The sequence below is a fragment of the Homo sapiens genome, chromosome 3 (assembly GCF_000001405.40).
Source record: "Homo sapiens chromosome 3, GRCh38.p14 Primary Assembly".
NCBI classification, from domain to species: Eukaryota; Metazoa; Chordata; class Mammalia; order Primates; family Hominidae; genus Homo; species Homo sapiens.
In genome coordinates, this window is record NC_000003.12 from 197957684 (window position 1) to 197980117 (window position 22434).

Consider the following 22434-nt stretch of genomic DNA (forward strand, 5'->3'; position numbering starts at 1 on the left):
GAAATTGAACTTGGGAATTACGCAGTCAGCGCGAGGAAGTGCTGATCTTGGACACCCACTCCAAAAGGCCAACATAAGCTAAAAGTACCTACTGTGTTCATTGTGCCAGTTAAGTAGATGTGATCAGTAGTACTCGGGGTATTCAGGGATAGAGGCATGTAGGTATACTGGCTGCGTAACATAAAACCGTAAAGTGTAGAGGAAGAAATAGGGCGGCATCTCAAAGAGGAAATGGCAGGAAGATTTTAGGAACACAAGTGGCTGACTGGAAAGTCCAGAAAACTAAAATGCCACATGAGAGGTCTCCTGTACTGAACTGAGGATCTTAGGCTTAAGATTGTTCTTGAGTGTAATACAACGTCACTGAAGAACTTGATTCACAGGAAATTTTAAAATTTACTCATTTGAGACAGGGTTTCTGTTGCCCAGCCTGTAGTGCAGTGGTGTGATCATAGCTCACTGCACCTTTGAACTTCTAGGCTCAGACAATCCCCTGCCCACAACCTCCAGAGAATCTGGTGCATGCCAGGCACGTCCAGCCAATTAAAATGTTTTTTCGGGGTCCCAGGCTGGTCTCGATTCCTGGCCTCAAGTGATCCCCCTGCCTTGTTCTCCTAAAGTACTGGGATTACAGATATGAGCCACCAGCTCAGATTATTTCAAATCCCAATGGCATCCCAGCATAAACAAGGGAAAATTAGGTGGGCTTTTCAGTCTCAAATGGAGAATTCTAACATGTTTCTGGCTTTGGGGGCTGGATGGATAATGGTGCATTTACAAAGTTGGGGAATCAGGAGATGGTTTTGTGGGAGGAGCTAAAGTTGAATTTGAGGAAGCTGTAAGATGTTAACCTGTGGACATATCCATGAAGACAGATGGGTATTTCAGGTCTGGGTTAGGCATATGGAGAAGTGGATGGTATTCTGAGTGGAACAGACACACGGTAAGTGGTAGGCATCTGAGCAAAGCGGGGGAAAACAAACGGTTGAGACTTTAACTCGAGTAACTTACATGTGCAATGGCAAATGAGACTCAAAAGCAAATACATGCTCTTCCTTACTGAGATGATGCAGCATTTGTAAATAATAAATGTATGTTTTTATGTTTTTCTCCTCCCATATGGAAATTAAGTCAAAAGTACTCAAGTCACCGTTGCCAAAGGAGGAGTCCTGTGGTTTACAGGAAAGGGCTTGCGTGGCTGGTAACTTGTCCACTACACCATTGAAACAGCTTTGCCTCCTGGCTGGGCGCGGTGGCTCACGCCTGTAATCCCAACACTTTGGGAGGCGGAGGCGGGCGGATCACCTGAGGTCATGAGGTTGAGACCAGCCTGGCCAACGTGGTGAAACTACGTCTCTACTAAAAACATAAAAATTGGCCGGGCGTGGTGGCGGGTGCCTGTAATCCCGGCTACTCGGGAGGCTGAGGCAGGGGAATAGCTTGATCCCGGGAGGCAGAGGTTGCATTGAGCCGAGATTGTGTCACTGCACTCCAGCCTGGGCGACGAGTGAAACTCCGTCTCAAAAAAAAAAGAAACAGCCTTTCCTCAGCATAACACTATTGTTACAGCCAGGAGCTTAGGATGACTGGTTCCATTCTTTATTCACAATAGCAATTTATTTGTGGTATTGTAGTGGAAAGGGCACGTTTCCTAAGTTACAAATGTGGTTTGGAATCCCACCTTCCACTAGTTGTGGGATGATACACACATTTAGTGAGTATTTACTTGTAAAATGGTAATACTTAAAACACCACCCCATCCTCGTAGCTGAATCTCCACCCATAGTTTGTAACTTGAGGTTTTCCTTCTTTCCTACTCCTTCATTTCCCAGTATAGTAGCTTACCTATTCAATTCCCGTTGAATGACTTCCAGCTCAGTGAGTTCGTAATTTTACTTCTTAGTGTCATGAGCCACTGGGATTTGTCCCAATTTCCCATTTTGTATAGTTCCTCACGGCTCAGTTTCGAAGGCAAGGTTTCCTTAATGGCCAGGATCCCCCTTATCTCAGGTGCAGTGGCAATTCTTGGCTGGAAACTAAAAGATGGAGTTGAGTAAAACAGTAAACGGTGTATCATAGATTTTTATAGGAAATGGCGTTAGTTAAGTAATGGGCCTAAAGTTGGTGACTCAGGATAAGTAAATGAAAGTATTCCACTCACCTTTTCATACAGAGGACTACACTGAAAGATTTTGCAGAGGGTTGTATGTACGTCTAAACACCTGGCACCTAGTAGGTGCATGTCACTTTGGTAAATGAAAGAACTGAAAAACTGCCTCAAGACACCCACATACGGCCAACGCCCGCTAGCCTTTCTTCCTCCCACAGCCCCACTCACGTGGGCCTCCAAACAGCATTTATTGGCCGGCTTCGCGCCACGAGACGCGATGGACGTGATCGCCGCCCTCATCTTCTGCGGCGAACTTCTAGCGGGTGACGCTGTCCAATCGGAAAGCGCCTTTCCGCCGGCTGGGCCCTCCGTCTACCCCCAGCGGCGAGGGGCGGGGCCGGCGCGGGCGCAGAGGCGTCACGCACTCCATGGTAACGACGCTCGGCCCGAAGATGGCGGCCGAATGGGGCGGAGGAGTGGGTTACTCGGGCTCAGGCCCGGGCCGGAGCCGGTGGCGCTGGAGCGGGTCTGTGTGGGTCCGAAGCGTTTTACTCCTGTTGGGCGGGCTCCGGGCCAGCGCCACATCTACTCCCGTCTCCTTGGGCAGTTCCCCTCCCTGCCGGCACCACGTCCCCTCTGACACTGAGGTAGGGCGACATGGGCGGGAGCGGGCCCTCTCAGGGTAAAGTCACCCAGAAGGAGCAGGCGTAGGAGATAGTGACTGGGAGAAGGTGTCCTGGATGAGAAAGCGAAATTGGGGCAGAGCCTGACTCTTACAGGCCTGGGACCCGCTCTCAGCTCCCTACACCCTGCAAGTTGGCTGTTAGGCGCTCAGAACAGTATCACTTCTGTGCGGAGGGTTGTGCTTAGCAGTAGCCCTCGAGGAGTGGTTTTCAAACTTGAGCGTGCATCACAGTCACCCGACGCACATGGTACAACACGGATTGCCGCCCTCAGTCCCCCACTTAGTGACTCAGTAGGTCTGGGATGAGTCCCCAGAGTTGACAGTTTACGTTCCCAGCTGGTTGGTGAGATATGCTTGTCCGGGGACCACTTTAGGAACCGCTGACCTGAAGTTTCGGGAAGACATTGAACGGAGAGCCAGATAGAGGCGTTGGTGGGACGTTGGGGGCTCACTGGAGACAAAATTCAGGTTTCTTTTCACGTTATGTCGTCACTTTGTTTGCTTTACCCGGTTCCTCTGCTCTGGAAGTGCCTGCCCGCCTCCCATCCCATTTTTCTCTCTGCTTAAATTCTTTGTCTCATTTCAAATTCCCTAACCTCAAGGCAGCCTGCTGAAACCACCACAGCGCAATATTCTTTTCATTAAAAAGTACATCGTGTCTGTACTCCCTCCTGGCATTTAACCAAGTACTGCTATGGGATAATGGCTTATTTTTTAGGCGTATCTTGCCTTTGCAGTTAGATTATAAGGTTCCGTGGGATAAGGTTTGTGTTTCATACTTTGATTCCTTCACAGTATTTAGGTCAGAGGTGGGTCCACGATAATCCATATTCTTTGAGAAAGGGAGAGTACCTGGGGCAGGGCTGCATGCTGATACACCTACACATGTTCAATTCAGCCCAGAAATCTAAAGACACTCATTTTTATGGTAATTTCCCAAAATGTTACATGCATACTCTTCATAACCAAGTGAGCCAAAATATTAACTTCGGAGTTTATAGCTTTTTTGCAGCTTTTATCATGCTGCATTTTCGCTGAATTCTTTAAAAAAAATTTCCCACAAAACCCTGCACTTCTCTCTTTTAATTTGGATTAAAATAAGAGAAAGAGTCCTGGTCCCTAATACGTTTCGCTAGTTCCTCATAGAGTATATAAATACCCTGTCGTCCTCACTATTCTCCTTGTTTTAACCTGGACACGGAGTATAGCCAGGAGCTACAGTGTTCACTGTAGTTACGCTAATGACTATACCTCTGTTCAATGCTACAGGAAATTACATAACTTTTTTGGTTTTGGTGGTGTTGGGGAGCTACAAAACAGTTTTACTTTTTAACTGGTTCTCAACTAAAGCCTGTAAGTTTTGTTTTTACCTTTTATTACGCCGGTACAAACAACATCAGAATAATTTAATGAACCCGCATGGACCCATCACCTAGCTTTAACACCTAGCTTTAAGGTTCCGCCATTCTTGTTTCATATACTTTCAGCCATTCCGCAGCCCCCTACTTGAGTTACTGTTCTTTTGAAGTTTTTTGGTAAAATTTACATATATTGAAATGCCACAAATGTATCCATGCACATCCACATAAAGCATACAACCCATCACAACATAGAACGTTCCCACATCTCCAGACGTTCCCTCCTGTCCTGTGCCAGTCTCCTGCCCACCCCAGGCAACTAGTTTTCTAATTGTTTTTTTTTTAAATACTAGATTAGTTTGGCCAATTCTAGAGCTTCGTGTATTGAATGGAATTATATGGTATGTACTCCTCTGTATTTGGCATCTGCTCAGCATTATGTCTGTGAGATTCGTGTTGTATGTGATAGTAATTTATTCCTTTGAATTGCTGAGTATTCCATTGAATACTTATATCACAATTTGTTTTTCCGTTATCTTGTTCAAAGATGGGTATTTTGGTTTCTTCCAGATTTTAGCTATTATAAATAAAGCTGCTGTCAATATTCTTGTACAGTAATTTTTGTGGATATATGTTTTCATTGTTCTTGGATAAATACCTAGGGGTGAAATTACTGGGTCAAGGGTAGGTGAATGTTTATAAAAAATACTAACCCTTTCTCCAAAATACTCTACCATTTTACACCCCCATCAACAAAATATTAGTTATGGTTGCTGCATATCCTCACCAACAGATGTCCTTTCTAAGAAATCTTTAAATACCCCCTAGGTCATAAAAATATTCTCCTGTGTTCTAGAAGCCTTCACTTTTAGGATTATGATTCATCTGAAATTAATTTTTATATATGATGTGAGATAGGGGATCAATATCCTTTTTTTTTTTTTTTGCCCCATATGGGTATTCAGTTGCCTGGATTATGTACCTCTGTAATAAATATTGAAATCAGACAGTATTGTTATTGTAAGCATTCCTGCTTTGTTCTTCCTTTTCAAAATGATTTTGGCTATTTTAAGGCTTTTATATTTCCATATAAATTTATTTATTTTTTGGCAGGGGGAGGCTCAAAGACAGATCCATATAAATTTTAGAGTCAGCTTCTCAGTTTCTTCAAAAAAGCCTGATGGGTTTATGATTGGGATTGCATTTACTCTATAGATGATTTGGAGATAATTGACATCTAACAGTATCAAGTCTTTCAATCCATGAACATAATGTATGTTTCTCCATTTATTGAGGTGATGCATAATTTTTCTCAGCAAAAATGTATAGATCTTGCATTTTTTCTTCTGTTTTCTTTTCTCTCTCTTTTTTTTTTTTGTTTTGTTTTGAGACAGTCTTGCTCTGTCACTCAGGCTGGAGTGCAGTGGCAGAATCATAGCTCACAGCAGGCTTGAACTCCTGGGCTCAAATGATCCTTCTGCCTTAATCTCCCAAGTAGCTGGGACTCCCAAGTATGCGCCACTACACTTGGCTAATTTTTTATTTTTTGTTGAGACAGAGTCCAGGTGGGTTTTGAACTCCTGGCCTTAGGCGATCCTCCTGCCTCGACCTCCCAAAGTGCCAGGATTACAGGCATGAGCCGCCGTGCCCAGCCAGATCTTGCATGTTTTTTGTTAAATGTTTTCCTAAGTCTTTTATTTTTTGATGCCATTGTCAGTGGAATTATGGTTAAAGTTTTCCAGTTGTTTGCTGCTAGTATGTAAAAATACACTGCTAGTAGGTAGAAATAATTTTTGTATATTAACCTTGTCTTCTGAGACCTAGCTAAACTTATTTATTCTACTAGGGTTTCCTCCCTTACAATTTTTGATGTTAGCAATGTATTAACTATAAATAGGAACAATTTTTGTTGTTGTAGTTTTGTATCATTTATGTATTTTTTCCCCCTTATTGCTCTGGTGAGGACAGGCAGTTCCAGGCTGAGCAAAAGTGAGATAGCACGCCTCCTTGCCATTTGTTCCTGATCTTAGGACCAGTCTCTGACCATTAAGTATGATGTTAACTTTACATTTTTTTGTAGTTCCCTTTATCAGATTGAGAAAGCTCCCTTTGGTTTCTGGTTTCCCGAGGGTTTTTATCCTGAATGGGGACAAATTTTGTCAAATGCTTTTTGTTTTTTCTGGTAATTATTGAGATAATCATATAGTTTCTCACTTTATGAACTGTTATGTGGTAGATTACATTGCATTTTCCAATAGTAAATCAACGTTGCTTTTTTGGGATAAACCTTACTTGGTCATGTTGGCTTTGGTAATTTTCTTTAATGTTTGTTTCTATTTCATTGTTTTCTGTTCTTTGTTATTTCCTTTTTCTACTTATTGTGGATTTAGTTTGCTCATATTGTTAGGCGGAAACTTAGATGACTGTTTTTTAACCTTTTTTTCCTTCTAATGTAAACATTCAAAGATATAAATTTCTAAGTACAACTTTAGCTGCTCTTCACAAATTTTGACACTTTGCATTTTAATTATCATTTAGGTTAAAATTTTTTTTTTGTTTTTTGTTTTTTGTTTTTTTTTTTTGAGACAGAGTCTTGCTCTGTTGCCCAGGCTGGAGTGCAGTGGCGCAATCTCAGCAGAGCAACCTCGGCTTCCTGGGTTCAAGCTATTACCCTGCCTCAGCCTCCTGAGTAGTTGGGACTACAGGTGCACGCCACCACACCCAGCTAATTTTTGTATTTTTAGTGGAGATGGGGTTTCACCATGTTGGCCAGGATGGTTTTGATCTCTTGACCTTGTAATCTGCCTGCCCTGGCCTCCCAAAGTGCTGGGATTACAGGCGTGAGCCACCACGCCCGGCCTAAAAAAGTTTTTTAAGAGACAGGGTCTTGGTCGGGTGCAGTGGCTCATGCCTGTAATCCCAGCACTTTGGGAGGCCGAGGTGGGTGGATCACCTTAGGTCAGGAGTTTGAGACCACCCTGGCCAACATGGCGAGACCTGTCTCTACTAAAAATACAAAAATTAACCAGGTATGGTGGCGGGCACTTTTAATCCCAGCTACTCTGGAGGCTGAGGCAGGAGAATTGCTTGAATTCAGGAGGTGGAGTTTGTAGTGAGCTGAGATTGTGCCACTGCATTCCAGCCTGGGCGACAAGAGCGAAACTCTGTCTCAAAAAAAAAAAAAAAAAGAAAGAAAGAGACAAGGTGTCCCTCTGTCACCCAGGCTGGAGTGCAGTGATATGATCATAGCTCACTGCCACCTCGAACTCCTGTGTTCAAGCAGTCTCCCCGCCTCAACCTTATGAGGAGCTAGGACTTCAGCCACATGCCACCACACCTGGCACATTTTTTATTTTTATTTTTGTAGAGACAGAGTCTTGCTGTGTTGCCCAGATTGGTCTTGAACTCCCAGTTTCAAGCAATCCTCCTGCTTCAGCCTCCCAAAGTGCTGGGATTACAAGCGTGAGCCACTGCACCTGGCTGAGATTATTTTATTTATGGTTTAGAATATGATCTATCCTGTTTAATTTTTCACGTGTACTTGTGAAGAATATATATTCTATAGTTTTTTTTTATTTTATTGTTTTAGAGATGGGATCTCAGTATGTTGCCCGGGCTGGTCTTGAGCTCCTGGACTCAAGCAATCCTCCTGCCTTGGCCTCCCAAAGTGCTGGGATTATAGACATGAGTCACTGTACCTGGCCTATTCTGTAGTTATTGAATATAGATTTCTATACATGTTAATAAGCTGAGGTGATTGATACTTTACTTCAGATTTTCTCTATTAAAAACTATTGGCCAAGTACAGTCACTCATGCCTATAAGTCTAGCTCTTTTGGAGGCCGGGATGGCAAATCGCTTGAGCTCAGGAGTTCAAGACCAGCCTGGGCAACTTAGTGAAACCCCGTGTCTACAAAAAATACAAAAATTAGTTGGGTGTGGTGTTGTACACCTGTAGTCCCACCTACTTGGTGGGGCTGAGGTGGGGGAATCACTTGAGCCCAGGAGGTGAAGGCTGCAGTGAGCCAGGTTGGCACCACTGTGTTCTAGCCTAATAAAGACTGTATTAATACAGGAGAAAATAGGTGTATTTAGCTTGCTTGTGGTTCAAGCTTACATGTGTATCTTTTCAGTTGCCTACATTTACCTGTGTGTATGTGTGTGTGCTTGTGCATTTTAGGCATTACAACATATATCTTTTGTTTATTGCATGTTTTTATTTTTGAGACAGAGTCTCTCTCCGTTGCCCAGGCTGGAGTGCAGTGACACAATCTTGGCTCACTGCAACCTCTGCCTCCTGGGTTCAAGCAATTCTCCTGCCTCAGCCTCCAGAGTAGCTGGGATTACAGGCACCTGCCATCATGCCCGGCTAATTTTTGTATTTTTAGTAGAGACAAGTTTCGCCATGTTAGCCAGGCTAGTCTCAAACTCCTGACCTCAAGTGATCCACCCGCCTCAGCCTCCCAAAGTGTTGGGATTACAGGCATGAGCCACTGCACCTGGCCTATTACATCTTTAATGTTAATATTATCACACTGTCTGGGGCATGATGTTGAATAAGAGTGGTGAGAGTAGACATCCTTGTCTTGTTTCTGATCTTAGAGGGAAAACATTGTCTTCCACTGTTAAAAATATTAATTGTGGAGTTTTTGGGTAGGTATGCTTTATAAAATTAAGAAAATTCCCTTCTATACCTAGTTTTCTAAGAGTTTTTTTTTTTTTTAATCATGGATGGATGTTGAATTTTGTTAACTGTCTTTCCTGCACCAGTTGATACAATCATGTGGCTTTTCTTCTTTACTCTGTTGATATTATGAGTTACATTGATTGATTTTTTTTGAATGTCAAATCAGCCTTGCATTCTTGAGATGAACCTCACTTGGTGATGATTTATTACCCTTTTTACATTTTGCTGGGTTTGAGTTGCTCATATTTTGTTGATGATTTTACATCTATGTATTTTTATTTTTTTAGAGACAGGGTGTTACTCTGTCATCCAGGCTGGAGTATAGTGGCACAATCATAGCTCACTATACAGCCTTAAATGACTTGGCTTAAGCAGTCCTCCTGCCTCAGCCTCCCAGTTAGCTAGGATTACAGGTGAGAGCCACCACACCTGGTTCATTTATTTTCATGTTTAGTGGATATGGGCTCTTGCTGTGTTTCCCAGTCTCGTCTGGAGCCACTGGGCCCAAGGAGTCTTCCTACCTTGGCCTCCCAAAGCTCTGGGATTGTAAGTGTGAGCCACTGCACATTTACATCTATATTAATAAGGGATATTGGTCTGTAGTTTTTTTAATTTTATTTTTTAAATTTTATATTTATGGTTTTTTACCAACTACCTGCAAGGATACTGGTCTGTAGTTTTCTTTTCCTCTCTAATAATAACTTCAGGTTTATCGGGGGAACCCGCCCCCAATATTTCAAAGTAGGTTCTTTCTATTTTCCCTAAGTGTCAGCCAGCTGAGAAATACAGAGAAAGAGTACAAAGAGTGGAATTTTACAGCTGGGCCTCCAGGGATGACATCACCTATCAGTAGGACCGTGATGCCCGCCTGAGCCGCAAAAGCAGCAGGTTTTTATTAAGGACTTTAAAAGGGGAGGGGGTGTACGAAGAGGGAGTAGGTCACAAAGATCACATGCTTCAAACAGCAAAAAGGAGAACAAAGATCACATGCTTCTGAGGCCAGTAAAGACCACAAGGCAAAGGGCAAAGCAAAGATCACAAGGCCAAGGGCGAAATCAAAAACTCCTGATAAGGGTCTGTGTTCAGCAGTGCACGTATTGTCTTGATAAACATCTTAAACAACAGAAAACAGGGTTTGAGAGCAGAGAACCGGTCTGACCTCAAATTCACCAGGGTGGGGTTTTTTCCCCACCCTAATAACCCTGAGGGTACTGCAGGAGACCAGGGCATATTTCAGTCCTTATCTCAACCACATAAGACAGACACTTCCAGAGTGGCCATTTATAGACCTCCCCCAAGGAATGCATTCCTTTCCCAGGGTCTTAAATATTCATTGCTGGGAAAAGAATTTAGCGATATCTTCCCTACTTGCACATCCATTTATAGACTCTCTGCAACAAGAAAAATATGGCTGTATTCTGCCCAACTCCTTAGGCAGTCACACCTTATGGTTGTCTTCCCTTGTTCCCTAAAATTGCTGTTATTCTGTTCTTTTTCAAGGTGCACTGATTTCATATTGTTCAAACACACATGTTTTACAATCAATTTATACAGTTAGATACAATTATCACAGTGGTCCTGAGGTGATGTACATCCTCAGCTTAGGAAGATAACAAGATTAAGAGATTAAAGTAAGACAGGCGTAAGAAGTTATAAGAGTACACTGGGCGTGGTGGCTTATGCCTGTAATCCCAGCAATTTGGGAGGCCGAGGCGGGCGGATCACGAGGTCAGGAGATCGAAACCATCCTGGCTAACACGGTGAAACCCCGTCTGTACTAAAAATAAAAAAAAAAAATTAGCTGGGTGTGGTGGCAGGCACCTGTAGTCCCAGCTACTTGGGAGGCTGAGGCAGGAGAATGGTGTGAGCTTGCAGTGAGCTGAGATTGCACCACTGTACTCCAGCCTGGGTAACAGAGCAAGACTCTGTCTCAAAAAAAAAAAGAAAAGAAATTGTAAGAGTATTATTTGGGAACTGATAAATGTCCATGAAATCTTCACAATTTATGTTCAGAGATTGCAGTAAAGACAGGCATACGAAATTATAAAAGTATTAATTTTGGGAACTGTATGTGTCCATATTAAAATGAAATCTTCACAATTTATGTTCCTCTGCCGCGCCTCCAGCCGGTCCCTCCGTTCAGGGTCCCTGACTTCCTGCAACACAGGTTTGGTATCAGGATAATGCTGGTCTCATAGCATGAGTTGGGACATGTCCCATTTTCTTCTATATTCAGGAAGAGTCTCTGTAGAATCAATGTTGTTTCTTCCTTAAATGTTTAGTAGAATTCACTAATTAAGCCATCTCAGTCTGGAATTTTCTTTTTTGAAAGTCATAAACTATGAACTCATAAACTTTGATATTGGACTATTCAGGTTATTTATTTCTTAACAGTGTTTTATTAAGTTATGTCTCTCAAAGAATTTCACTTCATTTAAGTTGTCAAATTTATGGACATGAAGTTTTTCATAACATTCCTTTATGATCATCTCTAAATTGCTGGAAAGTCTGTAGTGATATCTTCTGTGTAGTTTCTGACATTGGTAGTTTGTATTCTCTCTGTCTTTTTTTTTTTTGAGATAGGGTCTCACTCTGTTGCCTAGTTTGAAGTGCAATAGCACGATCACTGCTCACTGCAGCCTTGAACTCCTGAGCTCAAGCAATCCTCCCACCTTAGCCTCCCAAAGTGCTGGGATTATAGGTATGAGCCACCATGCCAGCCTTAGTGCTTTCTTTGAGTTTAATATATATATATTTTTTTTAGTATCTTAAGGTGGAACCTTAGATCATGAATTTGAGATCTTTTTTCTAAAATAGGCATTTAAAGCTATCAGTTTCCTCTAAATACTCCTTTAGCTGTATCCCACAAATATTAACTTGTAATTTTATTTTCATTTACTTCTATTTTCTAATTTCCCTTGTAATTTTCTCTACTAACTAAGGGTTATTTAGAAGTTTGTTGTTTGATTTTTTCAAAAGTATTTGGGGATTTTCCCAGATATTGTTCTGAAATTGCATTCTAGTCGAATTTTGTTATTGATAGAGAGCATCCTTTTTACCAGTTCTTTTATGTCTTAAAGTTTGTTTTATGGCCCAAAATATGATCTAGCTAGGTGAATGTCCCACACGCACTGAAGCAGAATGTACAACACAAAATATTGAGTGTTTGCTCCAGTGACTACAATATATGTAGTGTACTTATGGTATCTATTTAAAATAGTCATGTTAAATATGGGACATTTTCAACAGCATAATTTCATTCATTTTGCTGTTGTTGTAATATAATATTGTAAATATATTAATATATGACTTCTTTATATATTTTAAACCTCACAATTAGGCCAGCACAGTGGCTCATGCTTGTAATCCCAGCACTTTGGGAGGCCGAGGCTGGCGGATCACCTGAGGTCAGGAATTCAAGACCAGCCTGGCCAACGTGGTGAAACCCTGTCTCTACTAAAATTACAAAAGTACAAAAATTAGCTGGGCATGGTGGCAGGTGTCTGTAATCCCTGCTACTCAGGAGGCTGAGGCAGGAGAATTGCTTGAACCCAGGAGGCGGAGGTTGCAGTGAGCCAAGATTGTACCACTGCACTCCAGCCTGGGCAATAGAGAGAGACTGTCTCAAAAAAACCCAAAATAAATAAATAAAATAAATAAAAAAAATAAACTTCACAATTAAAAATTTTACAATTTTTGCTTTAAATATTTATTTGTCTCCAAAGAAATTAACAGAAGAAAAGAAGTGTGTATAATTGTGTTGAGGATTCCCAAGACCACTCCAGGTTTGGTGATTGCTAGGTGGCCTCGCTAGATTCAGCTTGTCGTCATACTCACAGCTGAGATTTATTACAGTGAAGGCATACAAAGTAAAATCAGCAAAGGGAAAAGGATCATGGGACAAAGACTAGAGGAAATTAGGCAAAAACTTCCAAGAGTCCTCTCCTAGTAGAGTCACTTAGGACCTGCTTAATTCCTTCAGCAGTGAGTTGTGACAGCGTGCACAAAGTGTGGTCTACCAGGGAAGATTACCTGATTCTTAGAGTCCAGGGTTTTTATTGGAGGCTGGTCACGTAGACAAAATTTCAGCCACTGAAATTTCAGACTCCAGAAGCAAGCAAATGTTCAACATAAACCATATTGTTTCTGCAAATAGTTTAGACACAATGAGCCATCCTTATAACCTAGTGAAGTTTTAAATTACACTTCTAGATGCCAGCAAAAGGTCAACCTTGCAAGCAGGACTTCCTACAGAGAGCAGCAATCTCTGACCTGCTGTGTTGACTCTTCTGCACAATAGTCTTTCATATCTATTCACGTATTTACCATTTCCAATAGCTTTTATTTCTTCCTACAGAAACAGGTTACCCTTTTGTGTTATTTCCATTCCCACGAATAACTTCTTTTAGCATTTCCTGTAGTGTAGGTCTGCTGGTGATCAGTTTTCTCAGATGTATGTGAAATGTCTTTATTTCCTCTTCATTTTTGAAGGGTACTTTCATTGGATATAGACTTCTGTGTTGAATTTCTTTATTTTAGCCCTTTCCTGTTTATTTCATTGTCTTCTGTTCTTTATTGTTCTTCACAGAAAGTCAATGCCATTCGTACTTCTCTTCCCTTCCTATGTATAATGTTGTATTAGTTCTCACACTGCTATAAAGATACTACCTGAGACTGGGTAATTTATAAAGGAAAGTGGTTTACAGTTCCACATGGCTGGGGAGGCCTCAGGAAACTTACAATCATGGTGGAAGATGAAGGAGAAGCAAGGACCTTCTTTACATGGTGGCAGGAGAGAGAAGTACAAGCAGGGGAAATGCCAGAGGCTTGCTTATAAAACCATCAGATCTTGTGAGAACTCACTATCATGAGAACAGCATGGGGAAACACCCCCATGATCCAGTCACCTCCTTCCCTTGACATGTGGGATTACAATTTAAGATGCAATTTGGCTGGGGATGCAGAGCCAAACCATATAAAATGTGTTGTTTTTCTCTCATTGCTTTCAATATTTTATCTTTATTTTTAGATGTCACAAGTTTGCCTATGATGTACCTGGTTGTTGTTTGTTTGTTTTTGGGGACAAAGTCTCACTCTGTTGCCCAGGCTGGAGTGCAGTGGCACGATCTTGGCTCACTGAAACCTCCGCCTCCCGGGTTCAAGTGATTCTCATGCCTCAGCTTCCTGAGGAGCTGGGATTACAGGCATGAACCACCACGCCCAGCCTTGTTTGTTTTTTATCCTGCTTGAGGTTTAGTGAACTTCTTGGATCTGTAAGTTGATGTCTTTCACCAAATTTGAAATTTTTTAGCTGTTATTTCTTTCAAATATATATTCTGTCTCATATTTTCTCCTGTCCTTATAGGACTCTAATTACCTATCTGCTAGACTGCTTGGTACCCATTCTCTGAGTCTCTGTTCTTTTTTTTTTTTTTTTTTTTTTTTAGTCTTTTTCATTTCTCTTCTTCGGATTGGATAATGTCTAGATCTATCTTCAAGTTCACTGATGCTTCTGCCATCTCCAATCTTCTTTTAATTCTTTCTAGTGAATTTTTTTTTTTGAGACTGTCTTGCTCTGTCACCCAGGCTGTAGGGTGATGGTGCAGTCTTGGCTCACTGCAACCACCGTCTCCCGAGTTCAAGCAGTTCTCCTGCCTCAGCCTCTGGAGTGCTGGGATTACAGGTGTGCACCACCACGCCTGGCTAATTTTTGTATTTTTAGTGGAGACAGGGTCTCACCATGTTGGCCAGGCTGGTCTGGAACTCCTGACCTCAAGTGATCCACCCACCTCAGCCTCCCAAAGTGCTGGGATTACAGGCATGAGCCACCGTGTCCGGCCCCAATGAATTTTTCATTTTAATTGTTATACTTTTAAGCTCTAGAATTTCCATTTGGCTCTTTTTTCTTTGGTTCTTTTCATAGTGTCTCTTCTGAGGTTCACTATCTGCTTACTCATTATGTGTATGTTTTCTTTTAAGTTCCTGAACACATTTCAGCTGCATTAAACTAGTTGTTTAAATTCAGGTCCTCTTAGGGTCTGTTTCTATTCCCTGCTTTTTCCCCCATTGTGGATCTCATTTTCCCATTTTGTTCTCATTGCTGCTGATTTTTTATTAAATAATGGACACCATAGATAATATATTGTAAAGTCTGGATTCTGTTGTATTTCTCTGAATAATTTTTTTTTTTTTGTAGCTGGCGTTTAACTTAACTGTATTCAAAATTCCAAACTCTTATCTCCTGTTGTTGGCAACATTTATTCTTTGCTGGGTTTTATCGCATACATATGTAATTTCGTTGTCAGCCAAGGAATTTAGTGGTCAGTCAAATATTTGACTGGGTTTCATATGCAGATTTTGGGGTACCTTCTGTGGCTTCTTCTCTTGCAAGATTTCCTCTCTAACTTCTAATTTTCTGGTGATACAAGTTCTGAACATTTTGCTGTAGCTCCTCAAGCCAGTGAGGCTCTGACTTCCTGCCACTCCAAGAGACACAGATTAGGTAGTGCTCTCAAGCCAAAGTTAGACTTGCAAATCTCAGAGATACAATTCCTGTATTCCAAGAGTAGATTCTTCCAGATTCTGTCTTTCTCCCTCCCCAAAATACTGTCAGACAGTATATTTTGTCCGGACTTTGTAATGTGTTATCTGTGGGGAGGTTAGTCATGTAATGGATTGCTAAAATGTACCATATCCATTTGCTGTGCTCAGACATTTCTGATTTTTTTTTTTTTTTGAGACGGAGTCTTGCTCTGTTGCCCAGGCTGGAGTGCAGTGACAAAATCTCGGCTCACTGCAAGCTCCACCTCCTGGGTTCTAGCAATTCTCCTGCCTCACCCTCCCAAGTAGCTGGGACTACAGGCGCCTGCCACCATGCCCGGCTAATTTTTTTGTATTTTTAGTAGAGATGGGGTTTCACCATGTTAGCCAGGATGGTCTCAGTCTCCTGACCTTGTGATCTGCCTGCCTCGGCCTCCCAAAGTCCCAAAGTGCTGGGATTACAGGCGTGAGCCACCGTGTCTGGCCTCTGATGGTTTTTTAAGGGCCATAAAATAATCTGTTACCTGGAGATAGGTTGGAATGGAATGAGTAAAATACTGGAAGTAGGGTGTCAGGCCATCATAGCAGAGCAGGCAATACGTATTGTGAAAATCTGTGACTGTTACTATGTTATATTAATAGATCAAACGTAGTTTTCTACAAAATATAGAATTCTGTTTTCTTGTATACATCTGCAGAAATAGTATAAAAATAAAAATGTGGTTGTCCATTGCTGGAATTATATGAGTGAGATAGTATACAGCTTACTTTTAGTTAAGCTAACACAATTTTTTCTTTTGTACATCAAGAGTTTCCTAAAGTGTTGATACTGCTGAGACCTTTCTTGACTTCTTTTATTCATCCCTGAAAAAATCATGTAAATAGTAAATGAGAACTGGAGAAAAAATTCAAAATGGAAACCTCTTTCATAAATAAATTTTTGTCCTCTTTTAAAGTAATTGAAGATACTTTTGGTCTCTTCCTGTCATTTTCTCAAGACTCAAAATTGGCTAAACTAGAAATTATGTAAGATCACTACAAATAAGTGACAGAGAACCCTAAAAGCTTTTTGGCAGCTACTGTATCCATAATGATTTAGTCATGTGACTTGAATTTATGGTTCTTGCCTTCCAAATGGCAGCCCTTGCTTGGGAGAGCTTTGAGGTTCAAGAATGCTGACACAGTGGAATATGGGTCACAGAACTTTTTCTCTGGGTATTACACTTGAAATTTAGTTCATTAATTTTAAGTTTGGATTGCAGTGGGTTAATCTGTATGTCTTAAACAGTTTTCAAATCCGTTCCTTTTTTCAGGTCATAAATAAAGTTCATCTTAAGGCAAATCATGTGGTCAAGAGAGATGTTGATGAGCATTTAAGAATCAAGACTGTCTATGATAAAAGTGTTGAAGAGTAAGTACACCATTGTATTGTCATCTTTTTCATTATTAATCTAAATGTTAAAGATATTTTTGTCTGTTACCTGAAGTTCTAAGAATCCATAGATAAAACTTAAGGACTAGTGTAGCTTCAAAATGGAATTAAGCTGAAAATGCATTTTAGTCTGAAAATATGAAAGCCATGGGATATGATTAAAGTCTTTATGAATAATTTTCTTTTACCATCTTCCTTTCCTGGTCAATCATGAATAATTTAAACAGAACAAATGTGGATCTACTTGGATGTGGACAGTAACAGACCTGGAAGGTACTCTTCAATAAGTACTAGTGTTACCAGAAAGAGGTCTGGCCCAGATTCCAGGAGAGGGTTCTTGGATCTCTCATGAGAAAGAATTAGAAGCAAATCCATAGAGTAAAGTGAAAGCAAGGTTATTAGAAAAGTAAAGGAATAAAAGAATGGCTGCTCCATAGGCAGAGCAGGCCCAAGGCCTGCTGGTTGCCCATTTTTATGGTTATTTCTTGATTACATGTGCTATGCCTCTGAGAGATAATCCTTATGTTTTTATGTCATTATTTTCAGGTTGCTCCCTGAGAAAAAGAATCTTGTAAAGGTATGTAATAAATACTCATAACTTGAATTGGACACTTAAAATTTTATTGCATGGAAATTCTACTTCAGTAAAGAAAAATATATACATGACTTTTGTGACTGAATGAAAGGTGTTGGTAGTGAAAGTGCTGATCATTTCACAAAAGGTGTCTTTGTGATGCTCTCATGAAAACTTTGTTGGTATTGGGCATTAAATTAGTCTTTTTTTGTAATTTGATAATCAGTTTTCTCATTTTTCTGCTTGCTTTCTCAAGTTTTTGGGGAGCAAATCATGCAGAGAATAGGGTGAAAAACAATTTTTGAAACACATTGACAACACTGTTCTCTTGGTGGAAATGTTTATTTTCCTGAGGATTGATTTACCTGATAACCACATCAGATTTTTAACTGTGTGGAGACACACACACATGCACGCATGCACACACACGCGCACGTGCACGCACACACATGCGCACATGCACGCACACATGCACACACACAAAGCCAGTTCACTATGGGCGACAGAAATTGATGACTTTAATTAAAGGTAAGATTTTCTTAACATAAACTATCTTAGTGTTGGAATCATCTAAGTTAGTCCATCATTCATAGTAATCTAGATTAATAGTTGAGATATATCACAGTTTTGTTAAAGGTGTAGTATCGAAGGAAATTAATATTTAATTAAAAATAAAAAATAGTTGAGATATATGTTTTCTGGCTTTCTATTTAAATGGGGCTAGGGAAGGAAATTTCTGCCTAATGCTGTTTTCCCAAGCTGAACTAGAAAATGGGGGAAATTCTTTTCCTCCTAGACTTACTCTCTTCCTACCCCTTGCCATACAACCTTGACTAACTAATATCTGTATTCCAGAATTATAAAGCTTTTTTTCATTACTATCCTGTGTTTGCTTCTTTTAAATATAATTTATCTCTTCCTTATAATTCTGTTTCTTTTTTTTTTTAACTTTTATTTAGAACAAGCTTTTCCCACAAGCGATTTCTTATTTAGAGAAGACTTTTCAGGTCCGTCGACCTGCGGGCACTATCTTACTTAGCAGGTATGTCACATGAAACACAGATCATTTTCTTCAGCCGTTTAGTACTCTGCCTTTCTCGTTCTATGAACATGGCAAGGTATGAAACTTATACTAGAATTTTATTATGCTTGTTCTTAGGGACCTAACTGCAAGGTATTTAAAAAGAATAAAAAAGCACCTGCTGGATAATCATTCTTTCCCTGACCTTTCATTGTGAGATGGTCTACTGAATTTTTTCTGGGTGTAGTTGTCCCCTGTTCTCCAGATCACCTTTTTCCCTCTTTCATGTGGATACAGTGTTGGCTTTATGAAGTATTTGGGTGTTTAAAAACCCAAATCAAGAGGATTTCCTATAGAACCCAAATTCTTTCTTAGCTACTTTCCTGACTAAAATAGTAACATTATTAATGAAGTAATATAGCAGCTACCAGTTGGTTTCCATGTTTTTAACTGCTATAAAATATTCTCTTTTTTGTATTTAAACTTTGATGTACAAATGGACTGAAGACAATGTGCAACAAACCAATACCTCCGGAAGGAAAACGATCCTCACAGGTACTGCACCGGGGAGTGTGCCGCACACACAAAGTGCGGCCCCGTTATTGTTCCTGAGGAACATCTCCAGGTATTTCACCCTGCTCTTGGCAGTGCTTTTACACCTGAGGAGATTTTGAATTTGTGAGTGTCACAGAATTTTTACAGATTCAAGTTCAAAGGCTTAGTAGCTTCCTTGGTCTACAAAAAGTAACCACAGATATGCTGATTTTATTCTTTCATTAGCTTTCAAGTGAGTTTAATGGTATTTTCTTTCTTCACTCCTCCCCACAGGCCTCCTTGCCCCTGTTTATCTTGGTCTGCTGAATCACTTTAGCTTAGAACATTATCTTGTCTTCCAAAATATCTTTTAGCAAGGCATATATCTCAGTTTGTTAAAGGACAGTCTGACATCTCTTAAGATAAAAAATATGTATGCCTCAACCCAACCTAGAAATTTATTCCACAAAATACTAATGGCTACGTAATATATGTTTAAAGGTGTTCTTTGCAAAACTATAAATATGCCTATTTAGGGTATATTTATGTTAAGTTATGGTATAACCACGTAGTAGAATACTGTGCAGTTGTTAAAAAGTGAAGGAGATCTCTATGTACTGACTTGGAAAGATGTTTAACCTCTTACATGAAAAAAATGTTGCGAATCAGTATGCAGTTAGCCCATTTTATTTGAAAGTATAGAAACACAGACAATAAAAAAATGATCAAACAATCTGGAAGTACACACGTTAAATCTGGGTACATATAAAATCATCAAACAATCTGGAAGTACACACATGTTAAACCTGGATACATAAAAAATTATCAAACAATCTGGAAGTACACACACGTTAAATCTGGATACATATAAAAATGATCAAACAATCTGGAAGTATACACACGTTAAATCTGGATACATATAAAAATCATCAAACCATCTGGAAGTATACACACGTTAAATCTGGATACATATAAAAATTATCAAACAATCTGGAAGCACACACTTGTTAAATCTGGATACATATAAAAATCATCAAACAATCTGGAAGTATACACACGTTAAATCTGGATACATATAAAAAATCACCAAACAATCTGGAAGTATACACACGTTAATTCTGGATACATATAAAAATCATCAAACAGTCTGGAAGTATACACACGTTAAATCTGGATACATACAAAAATCATCAAACAGTCTGGAAGTACACACACGTTAAATCTGGATACATATAAAAATCATCAAACAATCTGGAAGTATACACACGTTAATTCTGGATACATATAAAAATCATCAAACAATCTGGAAGTATACACACGTTAAATCTGGATACATATAAAAATTATCAAACAATCTGGAAGTACACACACGTTAAATCTGGATACATATAAAAATCATCAAACCATCTGGAAGTATACACACGTTAAATCTGGATACATATAAAAATTATCAAACAATCTGGAAGCACACACACGTTAAATATGGATACATATAAAAATCATCAAACAATCTGGAAGTATACACACGTTAAATCTGGATACATATAAAAATCATCAAACATCTGGAAGTATACACACGTTAATTCTGGATACATATAAAAATGTTAATCATTTCTTTAAGAGATTGTTGGGGAAAGTGCTTTTCTTTCATAAGTTATGGAGATTTTTGTGATGTTCTGAGTTTTCTTATTGAACATCTATTACTTATATCAAAAAAATAAAAAATTTAGGCCGGGCACAGTAGCTTACACCTGTAGTCCCAGTACTTTGGGAGGCCAAGGCAGGCAGATTGCTTGACTCCGGGAGTTTAAGACTAGCCTTGGCAACATTGTGAAACCCTGTCTCTACAAAAAATACAAAAAGTTAGCCAGGATTGGTGGTGTGCACCTGTGGTCCCAGCCACTTGGGAGGCTGTGGTGGGAGGATTGCCTGAGCTGGGGACGTGGAGGTTGCAGTGAGCTATGATCTTCCCACTGTACTCCAACCTGGGTGACAGAGTGAGACCCTGTCTCAAAAATAATTAGATAAATAATAATATCTCAGACTATGCCTAAGCTAAGCTAGTGCTTAATAAAAAACTACAAGGTCAGGCACGGTGGCTTATGCTTATAATCCCAGCACTTTAGGGGGCTGAGGTGGGCGGATCACCTGAGGTCAGGAGTTCAAGACCAGCCTGGCCAACACGGTGAAACCTTCTGTCTACTAAAGATACAAAAGTTAGCTGGGCATGGTGGTGGGTGCCTGTAGACCCAGTTCCTCAGGAGGCTGAGGCAGGAGAAGCTTGAACCCTGGAGGCGGAAGTTGCAGTGAGCCCAGGTCACATACCACTGCACTCCAGCCTGGGCAACAGAGCAAGACTCCAACTCTGGCTCAAAACAAAACTAAACTAAACTAAATAAATAAATAAGAATACAGCATATTGTCATTAACCATAGTCACTGTGCTTTACAACAGAACTCTTGAACTTATTCCTTCTAACTATAAACATGTATTCTTTGACCAACATCTCCTCAGCTCCCACTCCCTAAAGTAATTGATTTTAAAAATTATAAATGCATGTGTTAGAGAAGGAAGAATAAACAATGTGTATTTTCTATTAAATGAAATGAGAATTTGTTTTTTTTCCCTCTACAAGTATTGCTTACACCTTAAAAATAATAATTTACTGATTTTTCTGTTTCTAATTTGGAGATTATGATTACTTGGGAATTCTGATAGAAGTAGCTTTCAAAAAAGTGACCATTACAGAGGCAAATAAGATTTGCTGGGCAAGGTGCGGTGACTCACGCCTGTAATCCCTAATCCCTGCACTTTGGGAGGCCAAGATGGGGGTATTGCTTGAGGCCAGGAGTTTGAGACCAGCCTGGTCAATATAGTGAGACCCCGTCTATATATATTTAAAAAATTTTTAGGCTGGGTGCAGTGGCTCATGCCTGTAATCCCAGCACTTTGGGAGGCCGAGACAGGCCGATCACAAGTTCAGGAGTTCGAGACCAGCCTGGCCTATATGGTGAAACCCTGTCTCTACTAAAAATATAAAAATTAGCTGGGCATGGTGGCAGGCACCTGTAATCCCAGCTACTTGGGGGGCTGAGGCAGGAGAGAGCCGAGATCACGCCACTGCATTCCAGCCTGGGTGACAGAGTGACTCCACCTCAAAAAAAATTTTGTTTTTAATAATAAAAGATTTGCTTAGAAGATTAGAAACAAGGGGAGATGACTCATACCTTTATATTGTTTGAATTTTTAACAAGATGTGGATTGCATTATAATAGGAAATATATTTCCATTAGGTAAGATTTTTTTTACCACTTAGTTTAGAATTAATTGTAGATTCAAAGAAAGTTGAAAAAAAAGCTACTTTTAGGGAAATCCCTTCATCTAGTTTCAGAGTTTTAAAACCTTTTATATTTCTGTCTTTTCAGCGTCCTGTTTGGTTGGCCTTCCTTTGTAAATAGGAATTATTTAATTGAGATTATAGGTTTATGATCAT

The 22434-nt window shown here is 40.1% G+C and overlaps 2 protein-coding genes across 12 annotated transcripts in view, besides 3 other annotated features; one reads left to right on the forward strand and one right to left on the reverse strand.

The window, feature by feature from the left end:
* Nucleotides 1-2494, reverse strand: part of DRC9 (dynein regulatory complex subunit 9) — a 71101-nt gene extending 68607 nt beyond the window's left edge. For 4 of the 5 annotated variants that reach the window (XR_007095755.1, NM_001323028.2, NM_032263.5 and 1 more), the window contains exons 1-2: nt 2162-2308; nt 1846-2036 (exon numbers count right to left, since the gene is read on the reverse strand). The gene's annotated coding sequence lies outside the window, so the exon portion shown is untranslated. Of the gene's footprint in view, nt 1-1845; nt 2037-2161; nt 2309-2338 lie in introns of those variants that run through there. The other variant, XM_024453790.2, reaches the window with a different exon arrangement.
* Nucleotides 1311-1811: an enhancer, noted in NCBI's record as "H3K4me1 hESC enhancer chr3:197685865-197686365 (GRCh37/hg19 assembly coordinates)". NCBI's record gives its function as "activates a minimal SCP1, AML or CMV promoter by ChIP-STARR-seq in naive H9 embryonic stem cells {active_cell/tissue: H9 hESC(naive)}" and the evidence as "EXISTENCE:reporter gene assay evidence [ECO:0000049][PMID:30033119]".
* Nucleotides 2363-2592: a silencer, noted in NCBI's record as "silent region_15095". NCBI's record gives its function as "represses an Ori minimal core promoter by ATAC-STARR-seq in GM12878 lymphoblastoid cells {active_cell/tissue: GM12878}" and the evidence as "EXISTENCE:reporter gene assay evidence [ECO:0000049][PMID:35858748]".
* The window catches only part of LMLN (leishmanolysin like peptidase), an 83504-nt gene continuing 63603 nt past the window's right edge, over nt 2534-22434 (forward strand). For 5 of the 7 annotated variants that reach the window (XR_007095764.1, NM_001136049.3, NM_033029.4 and 2 more), the window contains exons 1-5: nt 2534-2757; nt 16694-16791; nt 17359-17389; nt 18346-18428; nt 18915-19032. Coding sequence is in view for 4 of the 7 variants with exons in the window: in XM_047449155.1 (XP_047305111.1) it covers nt 2539-2757; nt 16694-16791; nt 17359-17389; nt 18346-18428; nt 18915-19032 (549 nt within the window). In the remaining 3 variants the exon portion in view is untranslated. The remainder of the gene's footprint in view (nt 2758-16693; nt 16792-17358; nt 17390-18345; nt 18429-18914; nt 19033-22434) is intronic. The other 2 variants (NR_026786.2, NR_026787.2) reach the window with 1 other exon arrangement.
* Nucleotides 9922-10122: a silencer, noted in NCBI's record as "peak4998 fragment used in MPRA reporter construct". NCBI's record gives its function as "represses an SCP1 promoter by STARR-seq MPRAs in K562 erythroleukemia cells {active_cell/tissue: K562}" and the evidence as "EXISTENCE:reporter gene assay evidence [ECO:0000049][PMID:32103011]".